General features: G+C 41.1%; 1 protein-coding gene across 2 annotated transcripts in view, besides 1 other annotated feature; it reads left to right on the forward strand.

The window, feature by feature from the left end:
- The window catches only part of CLSTN2 (calsyntenin 2), a 642213-nt gene that overhangs the window by 312237 nt on the left and 303620 nt on the right, over positions 1-26356 (forward strand). The gene's annotated exons all lie outside the window — the stretch shown is intronic.
- Positions 17918-18419: an enhancer, noted in NCBI's record as "NANOG hESC enhancer chr3:139984181-139984682 (GRCh37/hg19 assembly coordinates)". NCBI's record gives its function as "activates a minimal SCP1, AML or CMV promoter by ChIP-STARR-seq in primed H9 embryonic stem cells {active_cell/tissue: H9 hESC(primed)}" and the evidence as "EXISTENCE:reporter gene assay evidence [ECO:0000049][PMID:30033119]".

Consider the following 26356-nt stretch of genomic DNA (forward strand, 5'->3'; position numbering starts at 1 on the left):
AGCTCTGGCATCCTTATAGTGCCCAGAAGTACATTTACATGAAGCCACTTTTATTTGATGCCTAAAATTATCAATGTCAAACTGGCATACCAGGTAGATTTCTTTCATTTAAAAACCAAGCGTGAGAGCAGGGAACATCTGGATCTCTAAAGTAAAACAAAATGAGATGATTTATTTACTTTGCTGCAGTTCTGTCCCCTGATGGCCTTGGGTGTGTTTGTTTATACTTCTGAAGGGGGTCACATTTGAGTGAGAAAGGCGGCCATCTAACAGAGTGTGAGGGCAGTGTGGGGGGCTCATCAACAGTAAAGACACCTCCATCCCTCACAGTCCCTCCTAGAGAAAGCTTTTGTCTCCTTATGTGGCAAGAGATGGAACATCTCTAGCAGTCTGGAGGGCTCCCTCATTCCTCACCCCAGTTAATAAATACCTTCACAGGTAAAGACTTTCCCTGCCTTCCAGAGCTTTTCAAATATTTGGATTCCCAGGCCACACCCATAGACTCTGATTTAATTGGTTTGTGGTTGGGCCAGTCACAAGGATTTTTTAAAAGCTCCCAGGGTTGAGGTCACCTCTCTAATCCAGCAGGATGTATGAGTACTAGGTGGTTCCAAATGCCAGTACATTTCAGACCTGCTGCCTCCCAGGCATCCAAGGGCAGGAATTAATGGGTATGTGTGATGGGATCTTCAAAGACCTGTCTGTGGGTATCTGATGGAGGAGCAGGGCAATGTGAAATATTTTGCTGTGTCCATTTCCTGCGCAGAGCAAAGCATTAGCTTTGAATGCCCACAGAATAATAGGATATAGGAAAAGCCAAAGGGGCTATTTTGAAGTGTAGACACAAACCATACTGCTTAGGGACCCCATGAGGAAGTGCCACCACCAGGAACAAGGAGCTTTCTCCTGATTCCTGTAGGTAGTAAATGCCTGGGTCTGCAGAGAGGCAGCAGCTTCAAGTCCAAAGGAGAAAGTGGCAGCAGTTTTGGGCAGCACTAGAGGAGGCTAAGGCTTCTTCTCCATTGGCCTGTGGGCAGAAGGCTCTAGCAGGGATGTGGGGGCCAGAATGCATTCAATGGACTTGCTTGTGTGAGATTCACTCTGGGAGCTTCCAGCAATGTGCACCTAGGAAGACAATCGTTGGCAGTTGGAAGAGGGGCAGCTGACATCCTGCAGATACGAAGATGGGGCTGAAGGACTCGTTAGTTAATAACAGATCCACAGGCGTGGAGGCCTGGTAACAACAACTCTACCAGTTCACTCTAGTGCAGGATCACTGCATGAATGAAGGGTCCTTATAGAATTCCTCCAGTTGAGTGCTTTCATAATATGTTTGAAGATTATTTCATTATAAAATTTTCATCTATACATGAGAGACAGAAGGAACTACAGTCTACAGATTTTCAAGTCAGGTTTCAAACTCAATTCTCCCACTAAGTAACTATATGACCTTGGATAAATCACTTTCTCTCATTGGGCTTCCATTTATCTGATTTTAAAAGGAGAGAAGTGGATTAAATGATTTCTGGGGGATCTCTTAGCACTGACACATTGGAAATTCATGGGAGTTCAGTTATCTATTTAAAGAGAGATGCAGCATGGAGGGAGGACCCTGTAGGGTCTCTGTTTTTTTGCTCCCAGTCACAGTTCCTATTCCTTCCCTGCTGCTTCTGAGCACAACCCTATGACTACTGGAGCCATGGAGAGTCTGAGACACCAGCCAGCTTGGTACAAGTCAGGCCCTACCAGTGTAAGCCTTACTCTAACAAACAGGGCCCAGAGAGAGGCCGTCCTGTCCCTAAAGTTATTTCTCTGTTCAGTAACTCCAGTTGAAAATCTCAGCCTAGATGAAGATGAATGGACTGCTGCAGATGTTCTGGCTGGAGTGATTGCCTTGCAAATCACATCACCATGCCCAGCTGAGAGTATGAGCAGTCTGACAACATTGTGGTTTGGACCAGCACTCTGCAGAGGGCTAATCTGGCACCATGTTGCTTTGGGGGCTGGAGCTCTCAGGAGGAAATGACAAGGCAAGGTTGGGGCAGGTCATGGTTATAGATTCTGGTCTAACTAGCAGATGTGACCTAAGCTAGGGGCATAGCAGCGAATGGCTTCCATATTGGGCACTTACACAATTCCAGGTACGAGATAGGTGGTTTGCACATTTTATCCTTTTTACCAACTCTATGGCATTATTATCTCCATTTTACAGATGAGAAAATGGAGGATTGGGGGACTGATAGGGAAAGAGTTAGTTTGTACTTTAGACTGTTTAATATATGCAAGGCTATTTTCTTTCCTCTATTATGTGATGAACTTTAGCTATCGGCATTTCACCTACCATTCTTGGAAACTACTGAAACTCATGGGTCCCAACCAAGAGAACTTGACAGTGCAGGAGGTTAGAGATGTCAAGAAAGGGTTTAGAAAGGCCTGAGTTTAGAATGCTCACCAAAAACCCCTCACTCCGCAGGGCAACAGCTGGAAGGCAGCATCAACATTAATGCAGCTCTACATCCTGGCTTATGGCTTACAGCTGGCAGGGAAAGCTCAGAAAGACAAGTATTATGACCTCGGATGCCAGGCAAGTCATTTCAATTTAAGAAATTGCAAATATTCCTTTTCAAGAGATACTTGCCTAATTTTTTATTAGGCAAAAAACTTGAAGAATAACTTGTTTTTTGGAGGGATAAAGCCAAACAAGACTACAACACAATGTACTAGGAAGATAGACATTATTCAGCAACCAAACTTTTTGCGCAGCAAATGTGTCCTGAGGGATTATGGGTGAGTTATGATTCACTCAGCACAAGTTCACTGGTACCCACTCTGTGCCGAGCAACGTACTTGGATCTGGGAATAGAGTAAACCGGATATGGTCCTGTCTTTGGGAATCCATACATCAAGGCCTTCCAAAGAATGTGCTGTACCTTCATGGTGAAATGGGGGCAGATGGCTTGAGAATAAACTGGGAGAAAATTTCCATGGCCGGTGGCTACAGCTGAGAGTCACTATTTGGCTCTGCCTCTTTTCAGGGTTGGGACTAATGTTTCATGAAGTTTTCATAGGGAAAAATGTGAACAATCTATTTCAATTACTTGTTAGAAGTCAAATTTACATAATCATTTGATGTAATGCTCTTCCTTTGGGGCTTCCCTGGAGTGGTGTCAGAGCTGCTGTCCCTGCAAGTGCCTCAGCCCCTGGAGGAGCAGACAGACATTTCTCCACACTGGGAGAGTCAAGCTGCATTCAGCTGCAATTGGATGAGCCTTCGCCAGGGATAATTAGGCCAAATGGGTGTGAAAATCTACCCAAGGGGAGAGGAGCATTCTCTTTAATCACTTTTTTCCCCCAAACTCGAGAGTAAAACAGTGAAATTAAATCCATTTTAATAATACAGTCTTCATTAATGTGAAATGTAGTTTTAGGCAGACCTTAATTCAAAGGTTGCTTTTTTTTGGTGGAAAAGATATTGCTTTTTGTGTGACCTTTAGTAAATCCAGAAGTGACAACATGGAATTTTAAAGCATTTCTTAAGCAGCAGAATTCTGAGAAGAGTCTTTTCCTCACTGACTGGTTTCCATGTGGCGGATATGTCCATGCCATGACATTTATGCCAAGCATATGTTGGCCGCCCACATGTGGGACATGGGAGTGAGTAGTTGCCTCTGTGAATGTTTTGAAGGCCAGAATCACATCTTCTCTGGCTGGCTTTCTCTGCGTCTATCCTTGTAGACATCTCTATTTCTTTGTGGAGAGAAGGGAGGAATGAATGAGTGATGTTGCCAGATAGTGACTTCATTGTTCTCGGTACTGAAATTTGGCATCTCTTCTGTGGCAAGGCAATCACTGAGTTTTCCATTTGTAAAAATGTGTTCAAAATAATAATCATAAGTGTCTCCTTCTATTACAAAAGTGCTATGGGCTGTATGATTTATTCAGTATCTGTTGCTATACATTGGTAATTTGCCTAGGTATTAAACGCATATTTTGTGACTAAGAGTCTGAAGTGCTAATTTCCTTTTCTTGAATCTTTGGCAGAAAGAGCTAAAAATGTTTCAGAAACTTTGAAGATATTATCTTTAGCCTGGCATTTGATACCTGATTGTTTGATGGAGTGGCAGGAGGAAAAGAAAGTCAATAACGGCAACTCTTAGCTTCCGTTCCTTTCCTTTCCTTTCCTTTCCTTTCCTTTCCTTTCCTTTCCTTTCCTTTCCTCTTTTTGCTTCCCCTCCTTCCCTTTTTCCTTCCTTGTTTAGTGCTTCCTTTGAGCCAAGCCTATGCTTCATGCTGCCAATGGTACATTATGTATGTGACAGTAAGGACAGGTTTCTGCCTTCATGGGGCTCTGTCAGTGAGGGGAACAAAGAAGTAAACAGACAACACAAAAGAATGCGTTGAGTACTCTGAGGAAGTGGAATCTGTGTGGAGCCTGAAAGAAAGGAATAGGCTGGAAAGAGGAGGTTTCAAAAAACAGCAATGTGCTTAAAGCCTGGAGGCAACAGCTGTGACACACGTAGGAATTGCAGGGTTTGATGTGGCAGCTGCAGTGGGGAGACAGGGCCTAGGGTATAACAAGCCATAAATGCCATATTAAGAAGTTTGTTTTCTAAGCATGATGGAGAGGCATTGGAGAATTTTAAGCAAGAGAGTGACACGATGAGGCATGAACTTTATTTATAAAGAAATGTTTGGAAACAAAAGTGAGGGGAGCAGCAAGAGAGTGACACAACAAGGCATGAACTTTATTTATAAAGAAATTTTTGGAAACAAAAGTAAGGGGAGCAGTGAAGGAAGAGATTAGGCTAGTGATATGAGACCAGAAGGGTCAGGGTAGGGAGCAAACTCCACAGTGAAACTCAAGGCTTACATTCCAATCCTACATAAAGATTTTGAGCAGCCCTCCCTCGCTGAGGGTCCTGAACTAGCACTCAGAGATGCTTGGTACTCAAAGTGTGGTCCACAGACTAGCAGCATGGGCCTTATCCAGTGCTTGCTGGAAATGCAGAATCTCAGCCCTATCTAAGCCTACTGAATCAGAACCTGCATGTTAACAAGCTCTCTGCCTTTCCTGACACAGAAGGGCGTATAGATGAAAAACACAGCCAGAAAGGTAAAGTGAAAGAGCTGTTTCTTTATTTGCCAAAATCAGGCTCAGCTCCCTTCTCTGGAACATATATGGGCTTAATTCTCTTAATTATAAAATGTTATGCATGTTGACAAGCTCTCTGGGTCATTTGGACACATGTGAAAGTTGAGAAGCACAGTTATGCAGAGGATCATAGGAAAAAGGAGCACAACCCTGTAAGGGCAGGTGCCTAAGGTACAAGCAAGTTAGCTGTGTGGCGCATGATGCATCTTACTGAGTGGATTACGTTCTTCAAGGAAAGTAGCTCAGAGGCTTGAAAGGATAGGTGGAGCAGCTGAGAAAGCCTGTGAGCTCTTCCACCATGACCCAGCTCATCTGATGAAAGCCAGTGATGGCTAGATCTGTGTGGCCAGTGTGTCTCTGTGGAAGCCAGGGTGACCAGGCCAACAGCTAAGTTAATGCCAATCTCTGGATAGCCCCACCCCTCCCCACCACGCTACCTCACAGTCAGCCAAATGTGCATGTGTACCTAAGAAGACTGTTGAAATATGTGTAAGTTCGATCACTGGGATCAATCTGGCTGCCTGTGTAGACCAGGTACACCAGGCAAAAGACAGTGGGAGCCCTACCTAAGGTCAAGGCAGAGGGATAGAGAGTAGGAGACAGATTCTAGGTTACAAAGTTACAGCTGCAAAGACTGAGTCAGCTAGTTGTGGTCACGGGCAGGAGTAGGAGGAGGAAGGTAGGGGCTAGTCAAGGTCAGCGTGTTGGGTCCTGCTGCGGTCACTGCCAGGTTCTTCCATGGCTCCGAAGGTGGACCACAGGAGCTTTCTCCATCCCCAGAAAACCTGTTGTCAGCTCCTCTGAACTCCATCTACTGTGCATGTGGCACTGGAGGAGTCTGACGTTCCTTAATTAGTGTTGGCAGCAACTACATTTGTTTATGATATTACGTAATCAAATTTGTATAATTGCTCTTTTATAATCCACTTTAAAAACCCAAAAACAGCACAGTGCAGGCAGGGAAAGTATGAGCACAGGCCCCTGACATGTCAGCATTCCAGCCTTTCCTGACACGGAAGAGTGTACTGATAGAAAACACAGCCAGAAAGGTAAAGTGGAAGACCTGTTTCTTTATTTGCCAAAACAGGCCTGGCTCCCTTCTCTGGGACATACCTGGGCCTAATTCTGTTAATTATAATGAGATAGAAAGTTCAGGATCCCAGGAGACAGGAACCCACCAAAGGGTTTCGGTCTTTTTTATTTTTTTTTTCTCTTACAGTTACAGTACCATCCAGATATGGTTCTTGCCATTTAGTCCTCTAAGACTTGTGGGATTCCTTGATTGAGTGACACTTCTGGAGCTCCCAAGGGCTGCTTAGTGATGTGTGTGAACTGTTAGGGCTGTGCTCAAAGCCCTGAGAAGGCCTTTGTTGGGGTCAGTTGGGTGACATTTCACAGGGGTCAGGAAGTCATGTTTTGCCTCCTTTGGAATTTTCCTTGGGGTAAAAATTGTGGGTCCCTTACCTAATTTGGTCATATTTCTCTCTGTTCTTTTGTAGAAATAATAACATAGGAAGGAGAGACTCTTTACAAAATATTTGCAGACTTCTCATGTTCTCGACTTCCATTGCACATACATGACATAATCTGAGAAGAGATGCAGATCCTTGCAAACTTTAAAGAGTTATAAGAAATAGTCAAATTACTAATTTTTGCTTCCTGCAAGAAGAAAAAATCATTACATATATGAGTGAGGGGATTCTGCACCAGAGAAAGTACTTTTAGGAGAGTTTCCCAAACAAATTTATAAGAATGGCTCTCAATCTAGGCTTCATGGTGACTTCAGGGTTCTATGAACTCTCTAAAGTAATTGTGTGTATATTTGCATATGTGCATTTGTACATTTTTATGGGAAGCAGAACCATGTCATTTATGAAATTTCAAAGGCTAGGATTAAAAATAGCTGAAGAAACTTAGAGATTTTTAACAATTTTAAATTTATGAAGAGCCTGTGTGTGTATCCTATGTGGTCCTCATCTCTGTCATCTCTGTTAATGAGGAAGGACAGAGACCATTATCTACAGTTTACAGTGAGAAAATTTAGGCATACAGATGCAGAAGATTGAAACTGGACTCCTTCCTTCTACCATATATAAAAATCAACTCAAAATGGATTAAAGACTTAAATGTAAAATCTAAAACTGTACAAACCCTAGAAGAAAACCTAGGAAATACCATTTAGGACCTCAGTCCTGGAAAAATTTTATAATGAAGACTCCAAAAGAAATTGCAGCAAACACAAAAATTGACAAGAGGGACTTAAACTAAAGACTTCTGCACAGCACAAGTAAACAGACAACCTACAAAATGGGGGAAAATATTTGCAAACTATGCATCCAACAAAGGTGTAATATCCAGAATCTATAAGAAACTTAAATCAACAAACAAAAAACAACCCCATTACAAAATGGGCAAAGGATATGAACAGACACTTCTCAAAAGAAGACATACATGTGGCTGATAAGCACATGAAAATTGCTTCATATCAGTAATCATTAGGGAAATATAAATCAAAACCAGAATGAGATACCATCTCACACCAGTCAGAATGGCTATGATTTAAAAGCAAAAAAATAACAGGTGCTAGTGAGATTGTGGAGAGAAGGGAATGCTTATACGCTGCTGGTGGGAATGTAAATTAGTTCAGCCATCGTGGAAAGCAGTTTGGAGATTTCTCAATGAACTTAAAAGAGAACTAACATTTGACCCAGCAATCTCACATATGGGCATACACCCAAAAGAAAAGAAATCATTCTACCATAAAGACACATGCAGTGTATGTTCATTGCAGCACTGTTCACTACAGCAAAGACATGGAATCAACCTAGATGCCCATCAACAGTGGACTGGATAAAGAAAATGTGGTACATATACACAGAGGAATACTTCACAGACATAAAAAACGACAAATCATGTCCTTAACATAGAAACAGAAAACCAAATACTGCATGTTGTCACTTATAAGTGGGAGCTAAGTATTGAGTACACGTAGACACAAAGAAGGCAGCAATAGACACTGGGACCTACTTGAGGTTGGAGGGTGGGAGGAGAGTGAGGAATGAAAACTACATTTTGGGTATTAGGCTATTATCTGTGTAACAAAATTACCTGTACACCAAACCCCCATGACCATGACATGCAATTTACCCATATACCAAACCTGCACATATACCCCTTGAACCTAAAATAAAAGTTGGAAAAAAAAGAATTTTACTAAAAAGGAATTTTTTTAAATTTAGGCATAGAAATGTCTAGGGCTTGTTGATCCTATGCCTCTTGATCCTTAGAAACTGGACATATAACCAGGGTGCTGACACTTTTTTCAACTCTAGCACAAGCTTTGAGGACAGAAATTATTGGCTCTATCTACATAACCCAGGACATTTTGGAATACTACGATCCTCAAATGCTGAATCTAACAAATTGATTTTTGTGTGTATAAGCCACGCCTCTGCCAATCCAAATATTCCCTTTTCCCACATTTTTCTGATGTGAGGGTCATGGATAGTGTGAGATAATAAAGCTATTTCTAGGTCAAGGTTAGTCCTAGGTATGGCAGCTGAAGAACAAGAGAGGCCTTTCTTCAAAACATCCATGCAGCCTCCTCTCCCATCCTTCACCCCACTACTTTCCTAAAGATTGGGGCCCCTCCTTTCAAAATGTAGATGCCCATCTCTCTTTGATGTTTGCCTAACATTTAGACATTAAACTACCTTTTGAGTCACACTGCCCCAAAAAGCAACCTATGGAATTCTGTGTTTTTTCATTCATGATCAAACTAGTCCCCTGTGGAAAATATGTCTTTGAATGGTTGCAGACTGTTCCAACCTATGGTGGAAGTCTGATATTTCACTTCACTGAGGTTTATAAAAGGAATATCAGCACATCCACCTCACTGGGTTATTTGTGCAGATTTAATGAGATAAAATGAGAAAATGCCATTGCTATGCCTGGCACAGAGTAGGGCCTCAAAAATAGTTGTTTACCTTGGCAACCTTCAGAATTAGTTTCAGATTGATATTTCCATTCTCTGTCATCCCCACTTTACATCACAGAAGAACATATTTGGACCTGACATTCTAGGAAAGGAGTGTTCCTCAAGGTTTTATGGTACTTCCTTTTTGAACTGGGGTGTCCCCAGGATAAAAAATTTCTGATTGAGACTTCTATTTGATTCGGTTCAACAGAAAGACAGCCCAATAAATATCATTAACTAAAATATCATCAGGACCATTGCATAACGTTTATAATGCATTGAGGTTTTTTGGTTTTTGTTTTTTAAATTTACATTCTGATTCAAGAAGTAGCAGTCTTTCCAAGCCAGTGCACACTAGGCACTTGTTTGCTCTATGCTAACTCTATGCTGGGAAGTCTGGCTGGGAAGACAAACTTAAAACACAGGAGAGCAATGTGTGTATAGAAAGGCATACATAGGCCGGGCGCGATGGCTCACGCTTGTAATCCCAGCACTTTGAATGGGCACTTAATATTTTTTTAAAAAACAAATTTGTTCATGAAACTGAATCAGTGTTCACCAGAGTGACTGAAAAGGGATATTAAGGATCACCTTCAAACTTGTAAAGCAAATATGCTTTATGCTAATGAAGGCCCCTACAATAATTAAATGTATGCTCCATAAATAGCCCTTGGTGCATGCTACATGTGGAAAAGTCTCTGGAGATCATTTAGGGGATTAAATTTATCTAATAAGTAAAAGTATTTAGGTGAAAAGTGGAAAATCATGACACTGTGGACAAGACATAAGCAACAGTAACACAGCCTGCCCATGTAATGAAAAAAGTCTTGTATTTGGAGAAAGTGATAGAGAAAAATTGGCTATGGATCACATGTGTTATGACAGCATCTTCTTCTATCTTAAATTGACTATTGTTCAGTTATTTATAGAGAAGAAAATTTAAATAACCAGTATTTTCACTGGGAAAGAGCAGTAAGCACTGTTAGTATTCCCTGCCTATTTCTTTCTAGGGGTGTGTGTGTGTGTGTGTGTGTGTGTGTGTGTGTGTGTGTCTGCTATGAGATCACATTCTATGTACACAATTATTTTTCCGTATAATATTAAAGAATTTCTCGGTCATTAAAAATGTCTTGAAAATGTGTTTTTAATGGTTGCAAACTGTTCTGACACATTGATGTGTCATAATTTAATTAACAATTCTGCTGGGCATGTAGGTTGTTTCTAAACTTTGCTGATATAAACATAAATATTAAAAATGGCATTGTCATGATTTTTTGTGCTCAAAGATCAATCTCTAGTTCAGATTCTTTCCTTAAGATAAAGTCCCAATAGACAAATAACTGGGTCAAAAGATATAAACATAGTTAAGGCTCTTCACATATATTCTTTTCAGAGTTGTCATTTTGCATTTCTACTAACTGTGTTCAGTTACCTTTCCTTTCATGAAATCCTGCCAATACTAAATGTTATTATGTATTATTTTTTCTATCTTGGTGGCAAAATTATCTCATTTCTGTTTTAATTTGTTATTCTTTAATGATTGAGCATTTTTCCTAAGGCTTAATGGCATTTTTAATTTTCTTTTTTACACATTCTATCTTCATAGCTTTTTCAGCCCGCTTTTATTGTGCTAACCTCCCTTTAGTAAAGTTATTTAAACAGACCTTAGGATTAAGCAAAGGAAGCCCTTTGTGGAAACTTCCATCTTCCAATTTGCTAATTCCAGATGCGCATTGACTTTCTTAGAGACATATGTAGCTGAAGTTACTTTAATACTTTGTGCTTGGGTCAAATATTTATACACAGGTTTTTAATTTGACAGCTAATCCATGGCCGGGCTTTGGGAAGGCATTATTTCCTTCATGTGGCCGTAGATAATGGAAAAGGTCATTTCCAATTCATTTGTCTTTCTCTTTTTCATCTTCTGGCTCTCCTTAGTCAAATCCTTGGAAAAGCAGTGAATGTGTCACAATGAGAATGAGAAGTCATGTTTTTGATAGGAAGTGTGTCATTTCCCATTTGCTGCTGTGATATGTATTTGCTCAAAGCTGAAGGAAGGATAAATTTTCTACTTGCAGTTAAATTCTATAACTTCCTTCTTATTAATCTTTTCCCCCCTCTTTTAATGTCTTTTGTGGAAACTTCATCTTAATATCTTTGAACCGTTTTTTATGGGGCACAAGACCTCTTCGGGTTTTAACAATATGTTGGAAATTTCCATCATTCTGACACTGGCCATATAATTATCAGACACTTGCCATATGATTGTAAAACTCTCTGATGACAGGGTGTACTTAAAAAGAGACATCTGTGGAATTATCTTTATTTTCAAAACCTGTTTACAATATCTACTTTCCCAGTGTGGAAAATCATGTATATATGCAGATATGTAAGTCATGTATAGGTATATAACATCATGACTGCTTATGTGGAGCAGACACAGCAATACATGGACATATTTTTGGCAGTAAAACATGCCAAGTTTGGTGTCTATACCATGCTCTTGACTCACACATTTGGATCAATCCTTTTTATACTTTTATCTTAGCCTCCATGTATTTTTTTTTAAAAGACAAAATTTTAATTTTTTTCTTTAAATCTTTATCAAGAATAATTGATTGAAAAAAAAAAGCTGCACACGGGCTGGGTGCGGTGGCTCACGCTTGTAATCCTAAGCACTCTGGGAGGCCAAGGCGGGTGGATCACCTGAGATCAGGGGTTCGAGACCAGCCTGGCCAACATGATGAAACCCCGTCTCTACTAAAAATACAAAAATTAGCCAGGTGTGGTGGCAGGCACATGTAATCCCAGCTACTCAGGAGGCTAAGGCAGGAGAATCACTTGAACTCAGGAGGCAGAGGTTGCAATGAGCTGAGATTGCGCCATTGCACTCCAACCTGGGCAACAGAGTGAGACTCCATCTCCAAAAAACAAAACAAAACAAAAAAAGCTGCACATATTTAAAGTATGCAATTTGATAAGTTTTGACATTCCTGTACAAATCCATAAAACTATCACCACAATCAAGATGACACACCTATATCCTGAAAAGTTTTCCCTTGCCTCTTTGTAAGCCTTCCCTCCCACCTTTTCAAACCCCATCTACCCGACAGGCAACTAATGATCTGATTTCTGACCCTATAGATTATTTTCTATTTTCCAAAATCTTATATAAATGTAATTATACACTATATATTCTGGCATCTTTCACTCAGCATCATAATTTGGGGATTCATCCATGTTTTAGGATAGGTGAGTTCATTTTTTTAATTGATAAGTAATATTCCATTGTATGGATATGCCTGAATTATTTGTTCATAGATGAGGTGGTCTATTAATAAAGACAGATCTGTGTACTTTGTTCTAATAAAAATATCTTTTACCCAAACAGGAGAACAGTAGACACCAGGAGCCTACTTGAGGGTGGAGGGTGGGAAGAGGATGAGGGTTGAAAAACTTTCTGGTACTATGCTCACTACCTGGGTGATGAAATCAGTTGTACACCAAATCCCAGTGACATGCAATTTACCCATGTAACAAACCTGCCCATGTACCCCTTGAACCTAAAATAAAAGGTGAAAAAGAAATATATATATATATATATATATTATATATAAAATACTGTACACCATACAAAATTAAAATAAATGTATTTTATTTCTTTTCTTGCCATATTACACTATCTTCAGGACCTTGAGAACGGTTAAACGGAATGGTGAGGGCAGACATTCTTACCTTTTTCCTGATCTTAGGAACTATCACTGTGTCTTACACCATTAAGTATGATATTAGAAGTAGGGTTTTCCCAGACGCTCTTTATGAGGTTGAGGAATCTTTTTTCTATTTTTAGTTTCCTAAGAGTTTTCTAACAGCCCAACTGCTCCTAAAGGAGGGTACTGGATTTTGTCAAATTATTTTTCTACATCTAATATAAAAAGTTATATGGTTTTTATTTTTTAGTCTGTTAATATGGTAAATTACATTGATTTAGACTTTAGAACAATTTCAGAGTTATAGAAAAATTGAGAAGGCAGTACAGTTTTCATATACCCCATATCCAGTTTTTTTATTCATAGCTTACTGTAGTATGATGCATTAATTACAACTAATAATGATACGCTATTATCAACTAACGTCTATAGTTTATTTAGATTTTATTAATGTTTTTCTAATGTTCTTTTTCTGTTCCAGGGTCTCACTTAGGCTACCATATCACATGTAGTTGCCATATCTCTTTAGGCTTCTCTTGGCTGTAGTAGTTTCTCAGGCTTTCCTTCTTTTGGTGACCCTGACAGTTTTGAGAAGTTTTGCTCAGTCAGGTGTTTTGTAGGGTGTCCCTTATTGGAATTTATCTGATAGTTTTTCTCATGGTAAAAACTGGTTTATGGGTTATGAGAGTAAAACCACAGGGGTGAGGTACCCCTTTTCATCATGTTAAGTAAAGGATATGTAATATCATCATAACTTACTACCATTGCTGTTAAACTAGGTCGTCTGGCTCAGGAAGTGTTTGTTAGGTCTCCTCGCTATAAAGTTACTCATTTTTCCCTGCCCTCTTTTCTTAATACAGTGTTTGGAAATGACTATACATAACCCACACCTTCTTGGGGGTTATGCATTACCTTCTTGAGGGAAGAATATTTACATAAATTATTTGTAATGTTTCTGCCCAGGAGATTTGTCTGTTCTTCATTTCCTTCTATATTTAATCATTTATTTTTGCCAGTATTGATTCATGGATATTTATTTAATAGTTTGGATTATAATTCAGTACTACTTTATTTTACACTGTTGCTTAGATGGTTAACAGCTATGGCCATGGGAGACATTTTTATTTGGCTCCTGTTTCCCTTTAATATATCCCCATCACTGTCTTTTGGTTTTTGGGTTTTATTGAACACTTCTTTATTTTTTGGCACCGCAAGATACTCCAGGCTCATCTTCTGTATTCCCTACCCAAGTCTTAGAATAAACTGCTTCTCCAAGGAGCCCTGGTTCTTTTTATTGGAGACTGGTATTAGAAACCAAGAGCTGGGTGCTACGTGTACTTGCTGCTACTAGGGAATCATTGCTTCTATTTTCTCTCAATTGACAAGGTGAGAAATGTTTACTATGTATACTAGCCTGTTATATACATATCTACATATTGTACGTGTGTGTGTGTGTTACTATCTGCGTCTATAAGCTAAACATGAGTTTGTACTGATGTCTTCCATTCTAATGCACTAACACATGGATCATTGTAGCCACCTTCTCTTGCTTCTCTGTAAGCTCTCCAACAGTAGGAGACCTGGTTCCTAACATCCACCATTAATTTACTTAATGCCCACCTTCTATTTTTTTATGGCTTATCTTAGCTACCAAAATGTTTTTGGAGCTTGATCTGCCAGTTATCATTAATACTGAGAATTATTTCAAGGTCAATCTTACCACCAGGCTAATTAGTATGATGCCATAAAAAGTACAGATTTTAGAGTTGTCCTGTCCTGCTCAATTAGCTGTGTGACCTTAGTTTAGTTTCTTAACTTTCCTGAAGCTTAGTTTTTTGATTTGGGAAATGAGATTACAATAGAACCTTGGCAGGGTTTTGTGTTTATATTTACTGTGTTTATAAGCATGTTTATGTGCTGCTGGAAATGAGCCAGTAGAATATGAAAAAAAGTATAAACTAGAAGCAAGAGTAGCTGGTGGTTGGCAATCAAGCTCAGCATGTGAGTGGTGAAGCTGGCCTTCCAGAGGAATGAAGACATTGTTCCACCCATAGGATGCCAGTCAGCATGGCTTTCAATGGCTTTCCCAGCATGTTCAACTGCCCAGGGGCAGGCATGGCACAAGAGAGGGCTTATCCATGGGTGCTGTTTGGCCTGAGGTAAAAGAGAGAGGAGTGTAAGAAAGTTAAAGATGTTCGAAATGAAATTATTTTTTATGATGAATTATGAACTCTAACTGGTTGAAAGTGAATGTGAAGAAGTAATATTGTTGATGGGGAGTGAAAAAGTGGCAAGATGAATGGATTATATGTTTCATGGGGCCCATAGATTAGTGGTAATTGTTTTAGTAAAGAAAGTGAAGTGGAATTTCAGGTGATGGTGCAATAAGAGAAGACTGACTGGTATCTACATTATGAAGGTAGTGCAGTTTTCAGGGAAGATAGGACCTTTGGTATGGCCATGAGAATGAGTGGCTGGGAAATGATGAGAGTAAAGGTTTTTGGTCTGGAAGCAGTCAACAAAGAGCCCAGGATGTAGGACAGATTCTCCAGTAGAATGTTGACATTATGAAGAATGGGGACAGTAAGAAGTATGGCAAAGAAAATGGTAAGCCAGGACCGGACCTCTTCAGAGAAAGAAAGGGATCACTGGGAGGTCAATGGAGGAAACACAAGGAGGACAGTGAGTTATTCAGATTTGCAGGATGAACTTGAAATGAGCCAGGATTTTTGAAGAAGAACAAATGGTTTGGAGTGTTCCTGAGGTACTTGACCGTTCCCCACATCCCCCCCAAAAAAACCCCCAAGAGCAAGCAAACAAAAAAACATTACCCAATGAGAAGACTGCAAGGGAAGTAGTGTCCTCAGAGGATAGCCTGGCTTAGTCAGAGGAAGAAAAAGAAGGGGTTATTCAGAGAAGTGAAGGATATATGATGGTCAAGTACTGACAAAACCTCCAGTTGCAGAAACAACTGTGGAAATATTTGGGAGAATGGGAACTTGGTTCATGTTAGGAAATGTAGGGGACCTATATGTGGAGATTAGTGAGGGTGATAAGAGATGAGGTGGGACACTTGGGCTGAAGTAATCAGGGCCATGTGGAATGGTGGGATTGGTCCTAATGGGTTACAGGCACCCAGCTGGAAGATGTGGAAGAGGTTGGCCACTGGCTCACCCCCATGGGGTTCACTGGTTGCTCACTCAGGCAGGTTGTGGGGTGTATTGCTCTAGAAGGAGGGCCCTAAGCTTTGGGCAATGAAGTCTTTGTAGCTTCATCTGTGAAAAACAGGGAGCCTAATTACCAGTTAACCAGATTTAATGAAACATATGCATAGTACCAAATATTATTTGTACTACAGAGTAGATGCTCCCCAAAAAACTTACATCTCTTCCCTTTTTCTTGTTTGGCTGCAGGTAAATAAATGTCTTTGTGTCCAGTGACTTAGAACAACTAGCTCAACCTATGTATTCAATTTCTATAAAATTGGGTCCTTATTAAAACAAAAAAATATTCATATTAATTACTTATTGGTAATTCCAGTAGGGAGAAACATCCTTGAAAGAAAGTTTACAGTTGAACTCTTGATAGTCTGAAAACAACTGGAGCTGAAGTCCTCCAGGCATTTGTTATAAGTACCATATTTAATATTTTCATTCCCTATTGTATAATCATACACAGTGTTCATTATTTACAAATATTTGTGAATTAGCCTACTTACTATAAATTATCTGTACTCTCACTATCAAACTTGGGTGTTTTCACAGTTATTTGTAGGCATGTGCAGAGTGGTGAAAAATTTAAGGTACCCAACAATGTGTTTGTTCCCAGCTGAGGTCAAACGAGGTGATGCTCTGGCTTTTTGTTTCCATCTCTCATACTGTAAATAAATGTCCTTTTCCTGGTCTATTTAGTGCCACATGTTTTTCACTTTTATACTTTTTGTTGATGATTTTGCTGTTTAAAATGGCCTCCCAAGCATAGTACTGAAACACTGTCTTGTGTTTCTAAGTACAAGAAGGCTGTGATTTGCCTTCTGGAGAAAAGCATGTGTCAGGTAAGCTTAGTTCAGGCATGAGTTACAGAGCTGTTGCTGTGAGTTCAAGGTTAATGAATCAAATATATATATATATATATATATATATATATATATATATATATATATATATATAAAATTAGGCATCTTTAAACAGGAACACACATAATGCAACAGTGACATAAAACAAGGTATATAATGATCGGTTGACAAAAATATCATAACCGGAGACATGAAGATGCTTGACCCTGTATTTCCCTCCAAGTGATAGTTCAATATTTGCTAATTCAGTCTTTGCAGCACCTTTATAGACCATAACTGCTGCAAATAGCAAGAACTGGCTATAGTTGATAATGATTTCCTTTGAGGAGGATTCACTTACATTGCCTTTCATTGTCAAGAGATAATCTCAAGCCTCTTTGGTAAGTGGCCCAGGAGCATGGGACAGAGAGAGCAGAGTGAGAATTGCTCAGGGGTTTTTAGGACAGCTGAAAAAAATGATGATTTTCATTGAACAATGACTATTAATTGAGAATTAGGCCAGTGGGGTAGATCTAAGAGTACAAGTGTGCTTCCAACACATTTATTGAGTGCTTTCTCTGTGCCAGACTAGATCTTGGGATTATAGAAATGATGTGCACAGGTCTCTGCCCTGAAGGAGCTCATAGTTTTTCATCCTTCCCTCCTTCACAACCCCCAGCACATAAAGTATTGAGTGTGTGCTGGCCATTGCTGTAGTGCATTATACACATTTGTCCATTTAATCTGCAAAATGACCCTACGAGGAGGTACTATTACTGTTGTTATTTTTAGAGGAAGTCACTGAGGTCAGATAACTTGCCTGAATTCATTTGGTATGTGGAAGAACCAGGAATTGGGCCCAAACAGTGAAGCCAAGAATACTCAGGCCCTCAACCATGCATCTACACTGCCCTTTATGGCTGGGGAGACAGATGTGGAAACAAGACAAGAACAATTCCAAGTTGCAGGTGTTCTCTACTGGCAATGCACAGGGGGGCTGAGAAAGCCCGGAGGAGGAGCCCCAAAGCCAGTCACACCTCTGGAGGCTTCGACAGTAGTAGAAGAGAGAAGGCATGACCTAACGACCTCTCAGCAGAGGAGAGAAGGCTCAGAGACTCTGAGACTACCCAGACCCCCTGGAATCAGAGTTCTAAACCACAGCTGTACGTGGGCTGTCAGAGGCCCCATGAGGCCAGCCTTTAAGAAAACAAGCTTTTGTCAAAAAAGATAATCACTCTGGATGGCCTATCCCCACTGAGTGTGATTAAGCGCAGTTTCAATGTACTTTCCATCAGCATTGACTTTTAACAGTGATTCTCCTGCTGTTGATATGAAATAAAAGCCAGTTTTATCTGGAAAAAAGTAAAACCATCAGTGCTTTGAGTTTTCTTAGGTAAGGGCCAGATTTTCATCATTATTCCCACTCCCACACAGAGCTCCTGAAGAGGGAAGTTTGTAAGTCAGCAAGAATATTACATATCAAAGGGACACTCAGGGCTGGCGGCCTAGAAAAACTAGGCAGATAGAGGCATTTGTGTCAGTGTGAGTCTTCCTCTTGTGATATGATCCGATAAATTCAGAAAGCATCCCTGCACTGGGAAAATGAGGGTCTAGGGTTCTTGGATCCCTCACTGCATAGTTGTAGCTGGTGCAGACATCATCACTACATGGCCTCAGCTCAGCCAGCTAAGGACAGACCCACTGTGATTCGTGGGTGCCCTAACAAACCTTCCAGTACTGCACCTGACAGCCTTCAATAGCTCAACATCTGAAACAGAGGTGCTGGATTGCTGAGGGTGAATTCCCATATCCTGTGTCTGATCTCTCTCTGCACTCAGTATTGGCACACCCCCCATTATCCTGTGATTACCCTGATGGCTGGAGGGAATGGAGAGAAGATGCTATACCTTGAGTGGAAGCTCCAAAGTTCTTACCCATATAGGCGAATGAAACCAATAAAAAGCATAAATGAGCAGAAAATGAAACAAAGTAAAGCAACATTAGAAATCCCACAGGAACAGTGAGATCCAAAACAACAAAAGAAAACTTGAAAGAATTCATATTATAAGATAGTAGTGGTTGTCTTGATGTTCTTATAAAATTAAGATAGGATATTCCAATTTCCCTTTCAAGTTTAAGGAATGCCTTGCTTCACAGCCACATTATGTGAAGGCTTAAAGGACATTTCCAATTCTCAGCTACTGGAGAGCTATTCAAAGATGCATCACTGGTATTCTGTTTACCTATCTATTCCTAAAGCTCATCATTAGCTTTAAATAGGTTGTTCTGCCGCGAGTTGAAGCTGAATAAATGAAAAAATGTGCCTGAATTTCCACTGGTATGTTTTGGTTTCATCCACCTTGTCTATGCCAGGCATTAAACCTCAGAAAAACTATTGTTGGACTAATGGTCAAAACACAAAGATCTTGATTAGTCTAAGTGATCATGATCACAGGAAGTTTAAATAGAGACCCAAGCCGTGGGTCCATTGGTTGTTCCACCTGGCCATGGTGTTAATCAGCAATTTGTCCTTGGCTACATGGCAAGCACGAAAAGAGCTATGGCATTTTATGTGCCAACTCTGGTTGTTAGTTGTTGTCTGGAATGCTTTGTTAGAAAGAATGCTAAGGCTGAAATTGGCTCAGTAGAGGACAGTATCATGATCTGTTAGCAATGTCTGCCATGAGTGCTGGCAGAGAGAAATGGGACAAGTGAGACCTGTGTTTTTTATTCCTGGATTAAAGCTGCAAGATTTGGAAACCAGGTCTACCTGGGAATCCTTAGGTGGGTGAAGAATGGACCATGTTCCTCCCAGGTTCCCAGGCGGAGTATGTAGTTGGGAGAAAGTGTGTATCTTCCTGTTTGTTATACTGTGTTGGTCCCTCCTCTTAACCCACCAAGGTTTTGTGAGTTCCTATCATCCATTTAAAACCTCATATCTTTCCTTAAAAAGCAGAATGAGGAGAATGCAGCTTGAGGAGAAAATACAGAGAAATGAGATTTTGGAGCAAGCCCACTCTCTAAAACTACTCTGTAAGGTGTCTCTGATGTAGAATGCCTCTGTCCTAGTCTAACAGTCTCAGTCCACAAACTCCAATTCCTTGGTCTACTGCAAATCCCCAGGTTTCAGGGCAAGATGAAAGTCTATGGATATTGAAGGAACATTGAAGATTAGGGAGAAAAGCCAAACCTTGCCAAAGCAAAGAGAGAGATACAGGCAATAGCAATTACTGAAAGGACCTGAAAATAGGTGAACACATCTTTAGCCAAATAGGTATATAGTTATATTCTCAGAGACCGGGCTGTTTAAAACCACTGTGTTGCCTCTTTCAGACACAAGCCCAGAAGTTTTGCTGTGCCCCAGGCCAGGAGACAGGGAATCTTTGAAAATACAAGGGGAAAACCTCAGTGATTTCTAGTTTGGTTGGCCTGAGGGAGAGCTGTGCCATCTTTTTGCTACCTCAACATTACATTTGCACTGAAACTTGGAAAGGTGGGAACTGTGGTATGGCTCAGAACTCCAGCTTAGGAAGGATATAACTGTGAGCAGAAAAGCCTGGAGAGAATTCTCGGAAGACTGAATTCCTAGAAGGCACAGCTATTCTTGGACTCTGATTCTGTGAAATGATATTATACCCACATTGACATCCATTAGCTCCTGTTATATAAGCTTATCATTTATCTTTAAACACAGGCTACATAAAATGGGGAATGAATTGGAGGCAGAGGAAAAAAGGAGGGAAATACATTTAGTGCCAAGCTCTGAGCTTGGAGGCGAAAAGAGCTATCGGGGTGAACCGCTGGCTGCCCTCACATAGCCTACTGCCTAGTAATAGTAGTCTCATAAGTGCACAGATGACTCTGAGACCCAATAAGAAGGTTCTGAGAAGGACTCTGGGCCTTCAGAAGAGGGAGGAATCATCCAGCAGAGGGCTGGGCCAGGAGTACGTAGAGAAAGGAGCAGTGGATGTGTGTGCATGCATTCTTTCACTCAGCCCTTTTACCAATCATTCGTCCAGCAGTACAACACCCCCTGTTGGGCTGGGGACATAGAAGTGACTGAAGCTCAGTCTTTCCTCTGAGGAAGTTCAGGAAGATCTGTAGCAGGAGCTTGCCTATGGAAAAACATATACACTTTATAGTGTTATGGGTGCTATAATAGATCTGATGTGCAAGGACACAGGCAGGCAGGACTGGGTGTTGTGAGCTTTCATGTGGCACTCTGGGGCACATTAGAAAATGATAGCTTTCCCAGGCAAAACATCACTCACAAAAATTTGGCTTGACAAACAGAGGTGTCATTGTGCAAATTAGGAGAAGAGGTTCCATTCTCCTTCCTGGCTAACTCAGTATCCAGCCACAGTGCTGACTTAGCTAGTGAAGCACTGGAGTGTCCAGTGTCCTTGTGCAGGGTGCAACCTGCACAACTGTACATGGTATAGTTGGCAGTGGGCAGTGGCAGTATATAATCTGTGTCCTGGCTTTGATGCTGTACAACATTACGCAACCCACTTGCCCTCTCAGAGTCTCATTTCCTCTGTGTACAGGATAGAAACTATAAGGCACCTACCTTGATTGCTGTGATCGGCAATCAAATGAGATAATGTAGGTAGTGGTGTTCTGGGCCCTGGAAGGCTCTATATAGAAGTTAAATATTGTTATTCAGTAGAGATTTGTTTATTAATTGATCAGGGACGTCTTGAATAAATCTCCTAGTGAGTTAACATTCCATAGTGCCTCTTGTCTTCTTGCTTCTCTCACATCTACCTTTTACCATCAGCCACACCAAGTCATAGGCTTACTCCTTATTTACTGAGAGACTCCTTGTTTTCAGAACTTTAGTTAAGAGGAAGATTTTCCATGGATACAAGTTGGAACTTAATAGTATCCTTTGGGTGGTACCTTGCTCAGTTTCTTGCAAAACAGGATTTTCTTTAAGAGGACATAGAAAATAAACACTCAAGAAGTGTTTGTCCCCAATAGCTTTATTGGAAAACATTATTGGGCCAAATGAACCGAGCTGAACATTTGCATTAATTAAATTGACCATAAACCCAGCTTAATGTTTCATTTCACCTTTCTCCTGGCACGATGGTGCCTGAGTGTTTTGGAACTCAGATACATACCTGCTGGCAGGGATGGCTGAGAGTTCAGCGACAATCAATGTTTGTAATCAAAGAAGATTAGACTTGGTATTAATTAACAGAAATCTAATGCTCAACACAAATGTGGGACAGAGAGGGCCAAGCCTGTGGCACATTGGTAGAACTGGAGGTAATTAAACAGCCCCTTCTGGAAAGAAAAGCTTTCGATATTATTGAGTGAACTCTGTGTGCATAGCCCCACTTCTTGAACCGATGGGGGACCACATTATTTATAGGAAGTTATAGGAAGTTGGGACTGTGTGAGATGTAGCTCCTAAACTGCACCTACAGGGTACTTCTGACCCCAGGGGATTTTGAAGGAGTATTGAGAGAGGGATTACTCCAAGGTTCAAATCCCAGCTCCATTATTCACTAGCTGTCTGATCCCACCTAAGTTGTATAACCTCTCTGAAGCTTTCTCATTTGGAAAATGACAATCATAACTACACTTATCTCAGAGAGGTTTTGTGAGGATTTGATGAGGTTTTGTGAGGATTTGATGGTAGAGAAAGAAAACAAGAAAGAGGAAAAGCGGGCCAGTTTCTTGAGCAAATGTTTGCTGGGCTCCCATCTTTAAAGACAGGGCTACATTTAAGCCTCAAAGCCAATATATGTAGTACATGCTATTAAGCCCATTTTGATGAATGAACATGCTGAGGAAATTTCCTAGTGAATGAGGATGTGATGGCTACCATTAATTGGAGTACTAACTATGTGTCCACTAACGGCTCCTCATTCATTGCCTCTTACCTGTGATACTTGGAACCTCCTAACACAGGTGAGGAGATGTACACTCAAAGAAGTCAAGTGATATGTGAGAACCCAGGATGGAGGTGGACTCACACCCATATGCACCTGGCCCCAGAGCCTGGGTTCCACCACACTCTGCCATGTGTTCATTTGCCTGGGTGTGTCTGTGGGAGACAGGATGCTTTGTCAACCACTTTGTCAGCCACTTTTGTAACAAATGAGACAGGGTCCCTGGTTGGGAGGTGTCTGCCGTCCGGTTGTTAGGGAAGAATTTACAAGCCTGAAACAAGCTAAGAATGGAAAACCACATGTCACCTGGCCGCAACTCTAGTGCCTCCCATCCAGATGACTCACACATTGGACCAGTAAGAACATGAATCCTCTATATGAGCCTGGTTGTGTGTAGACAGGAGGATGGGGGAAGAGGGCTGTGGATGCTAGGGTGGTAGCAGGTTCACCTTATAGGTCTGTGGATCTACAATTGGTAACTGTGGTCCAGGAAGTGGCAAGTGCCACAAGGACACTCAGCATTTCTGGCGAATTTCCTCACACCCACAGAAGTATTGGAGCTTTATTCTCTCTTGAAAAGCATATGAATTTTACCTAGTCGCTGGTAGCAGAACTCCGGTACCTGTAGTCCAGAGCAGTCTGTGGCCCCAAGGGAAGACTTGCAGCTCCCTCCCTATCATCATGCTTCTCCAACAGACCTGGGAAGGTGTCTGCATTTGACCTCTCATTCTAGCATGGAGACAATTTAGCACCATTGGATAGTCTTGCAACAGAGTAATTTAAGAGGGATTACTCCCAAACATCCTCCTGCTAGATAATTCTTTAGCGGCGTCTCTGGGTGATTTCCTTCCCGGGGAGCCACATAATCACTTTGCACTGGCTCACCAAACAGCTGATGGCTCGGTGCATCATTGCTCCCCAGTCAAATGGATTTAGAGCACCATTGCATTCGGTGACCATTCATCTCAAAATCTCTTGGAGGTCACCTCTGCTCACCAGGGTCCCAGACACATGAGATGGCAGAAGCCCAAATGCCAGCTCGTGTTCAAGCAGGAAAGGGCAAGTGGCAGATTATTTGGTGTGCCTCTGTTAGCCCACCTCCCCTCCAGGCTAATTACTTATGCTACTGAAAAGTGTCTCAGTCTGTTTAGCTGTTATAACAATGTTACCGAACACTGGGATTACCCCAGTGTATTATGTACATGGCAAATATTTCTGTTTGTAATGACAGAAATTTATTTCCCACAGTTCTGGAGGCCAGGAAGTCCAAGATCAAGGTGCCAGCGTTTCAGTGTCTGGTGAGGGCCCATTTCTTATAGATGGCACCTGCTGTGTATTCTCATGTGGTGGAAGAAGAAAAGGGACTGACAACCTCCCTCAGGCCTCTTTCATAAGGGCACTAATCCCATTCAGAAGGACCCCCCTCTTATGACATAATCACTTCCCAGTGGCCCCACCTTCTAATACCATAACCCTGGTGATTAGCTTTCAATGCATGAATTTTAGAGGGACAGAAACATTCAGACCATAGCAAAAAGACTATGTGTTCATTAGCACATGAAGCTGCTTCTGGACTCAACTAGTTTTAAAAACAAGGAAAGCTCGTGAAAGTCACACGCTACATGTGCTTGTATAATGCAGACACCAGATGTGTAGGTTCTCAGCTAATGTGCAAAATGTGTTGGCTTAAGCCGATGAACACTGAGCTTCTATGATAGAAGTACAAACAGAACCCAATTCTGAATTCTTTAACTTCCTGTCCTATTCTTTCTCAGTTGTGATAATAGCGGTGTTTAGAGCAGCTACCAGGGCAGTTTCTCAAAATGAATGCCGTTAACTTTCTGCCATTCTGGAATTGGTGTGTGTGTGTCAAGAAGGGGCAATACAAGAAAGAAGCTGGATAAAGGACAACCTTCTCTATTTTTATTTTGCTCGTGTCTAGATTCCTAGAAGATCATGTAGGGATATTGGGGGAAAAAACAGTTTTTGAACAACCTAGATCTAGGCTCACAGCCTAGCTCCTCCAAAACTGGCTGAATGGCCTTGGGCAAGTTACCTATGATTGCTGGCTGCCGTTTGTTCCTCTTTTATGCCAGACACAGAGTAACCATGCAATCTATGGCCATATGCTGTGAATAAAGTCAGCAATTGATATCTCACAGTGTAAATATGAAGACAAATAGATTATATAGGAAAGAGTGTGCCTAGAATACAATAGCCAATCAGTAAGGTTATAATAATTAGAATGACTGGTCGGGTGTGGTGGCCCATGCCTGTAATCCCAGCACTTTGGGAGGCCAAGGTGGGTGGATCACCTGAGGATGGGAGTTCGAGACCAGCCTGGCCAACATGCCAAAATCCTGTCTGTACTAAAAAAATGCAAAAATTAACTGGGTATGGTGGTGCACACCTGTTATCCCAGCTATTTGGGAGGCTGAGGCAGGAGAATCACTTGAACCCAGGAGGTAGAGGTTGCAGTGAGCCGAGTTTGTGCCACTGCTCTCCAGCGTGGGTGACAGAGCAAGACCCTGTCTTCAAAAATAATAATAATAATCATTAGAATGACTATTTAAACTTTAATATTCAGTATTTTACACCTCATTGTATTGATTACTAGATGGGAAAATCATGAAATCTTTAAGGAAGGTTGTGATTGGCAATGTTCCTTTCAGTCCTGGCTTAGTTTTGAAATATGTGAAGGAAGTAGCTCTTGCAGTGATTATTATTTTGGGTTTCAGATTCCCCATCCCCATGTCCTCTTTGCCGCTGTCACTCAGTGATCATTTGATATATTCAGAGTCAGACAAAGAAGCACCCAAGAGGAGGGAAGCATCTTCTTCACATTTTTAGGGCAAACTTACTAAAGAGTGACTTTACCTTTGAAGTCAGACTCACCCTAGGAATAAAAAACTTTTATTCCTGTGGGTTGGAAGATATACTCATTTCCCTCTTCTTAAAAACATTCATTATCACAACACATACCGGAACCTGTCGGGGGGTGGGGGGCAAGGGCAGGGAGAGCATTAGGACAAATACCTAATGCATGCAGGGCTTAAAACCTAGATGATGGGTTGATAGTTGCAGCAAACCACCATGGCACATGTATACCTACATAACAAACTTGCACACTCTGCACATGTATCTGGAACTTAAAGTAAAATAAGAATATATATATTTACCATCCACCATGCTGCAAGATGCTTTTCCCATGTTCAGTTGCTTCTCACAACAATGTTAGAGCTGAAGAAATGAAAGCTTCACAGCTACATGTGGCCTCAGGATGACTTCAGAAATTATATTTTTCTTTATCACATATGAATAGGGATAATAATAATCAGGTGCAGAGGAACATCTGTATAAGCCATTGTGTGGTTAAGTGAACCACCGTGTCAGAGCCCCAAGGCCTGGTATAGAGTTGGTGCCTAAATGGATGCTAGTTTTTGATTGTCCTCTCCTAAAACCCAGCAAGGGCCTCCTCGTCAGCCAACAGAAGCAATTCCTCAGGGTAACTCGCCCACTCTACTGACTCATAGTGGTGGATGTCAGAGCATTGGGAAAGCC

The sequence above is a fragment of the Homo sapiens genome, chromosome 3 (genome assembly GCF_000001405.40).
Source record: "Homo sapiens chromosome 3, GRCh38.p14 Primary Assembly".
NCBI lineage: Eukaryota > Metazoa > Chordata > Mammalia > Primates > Hominidae > Homo > Homo sapiens.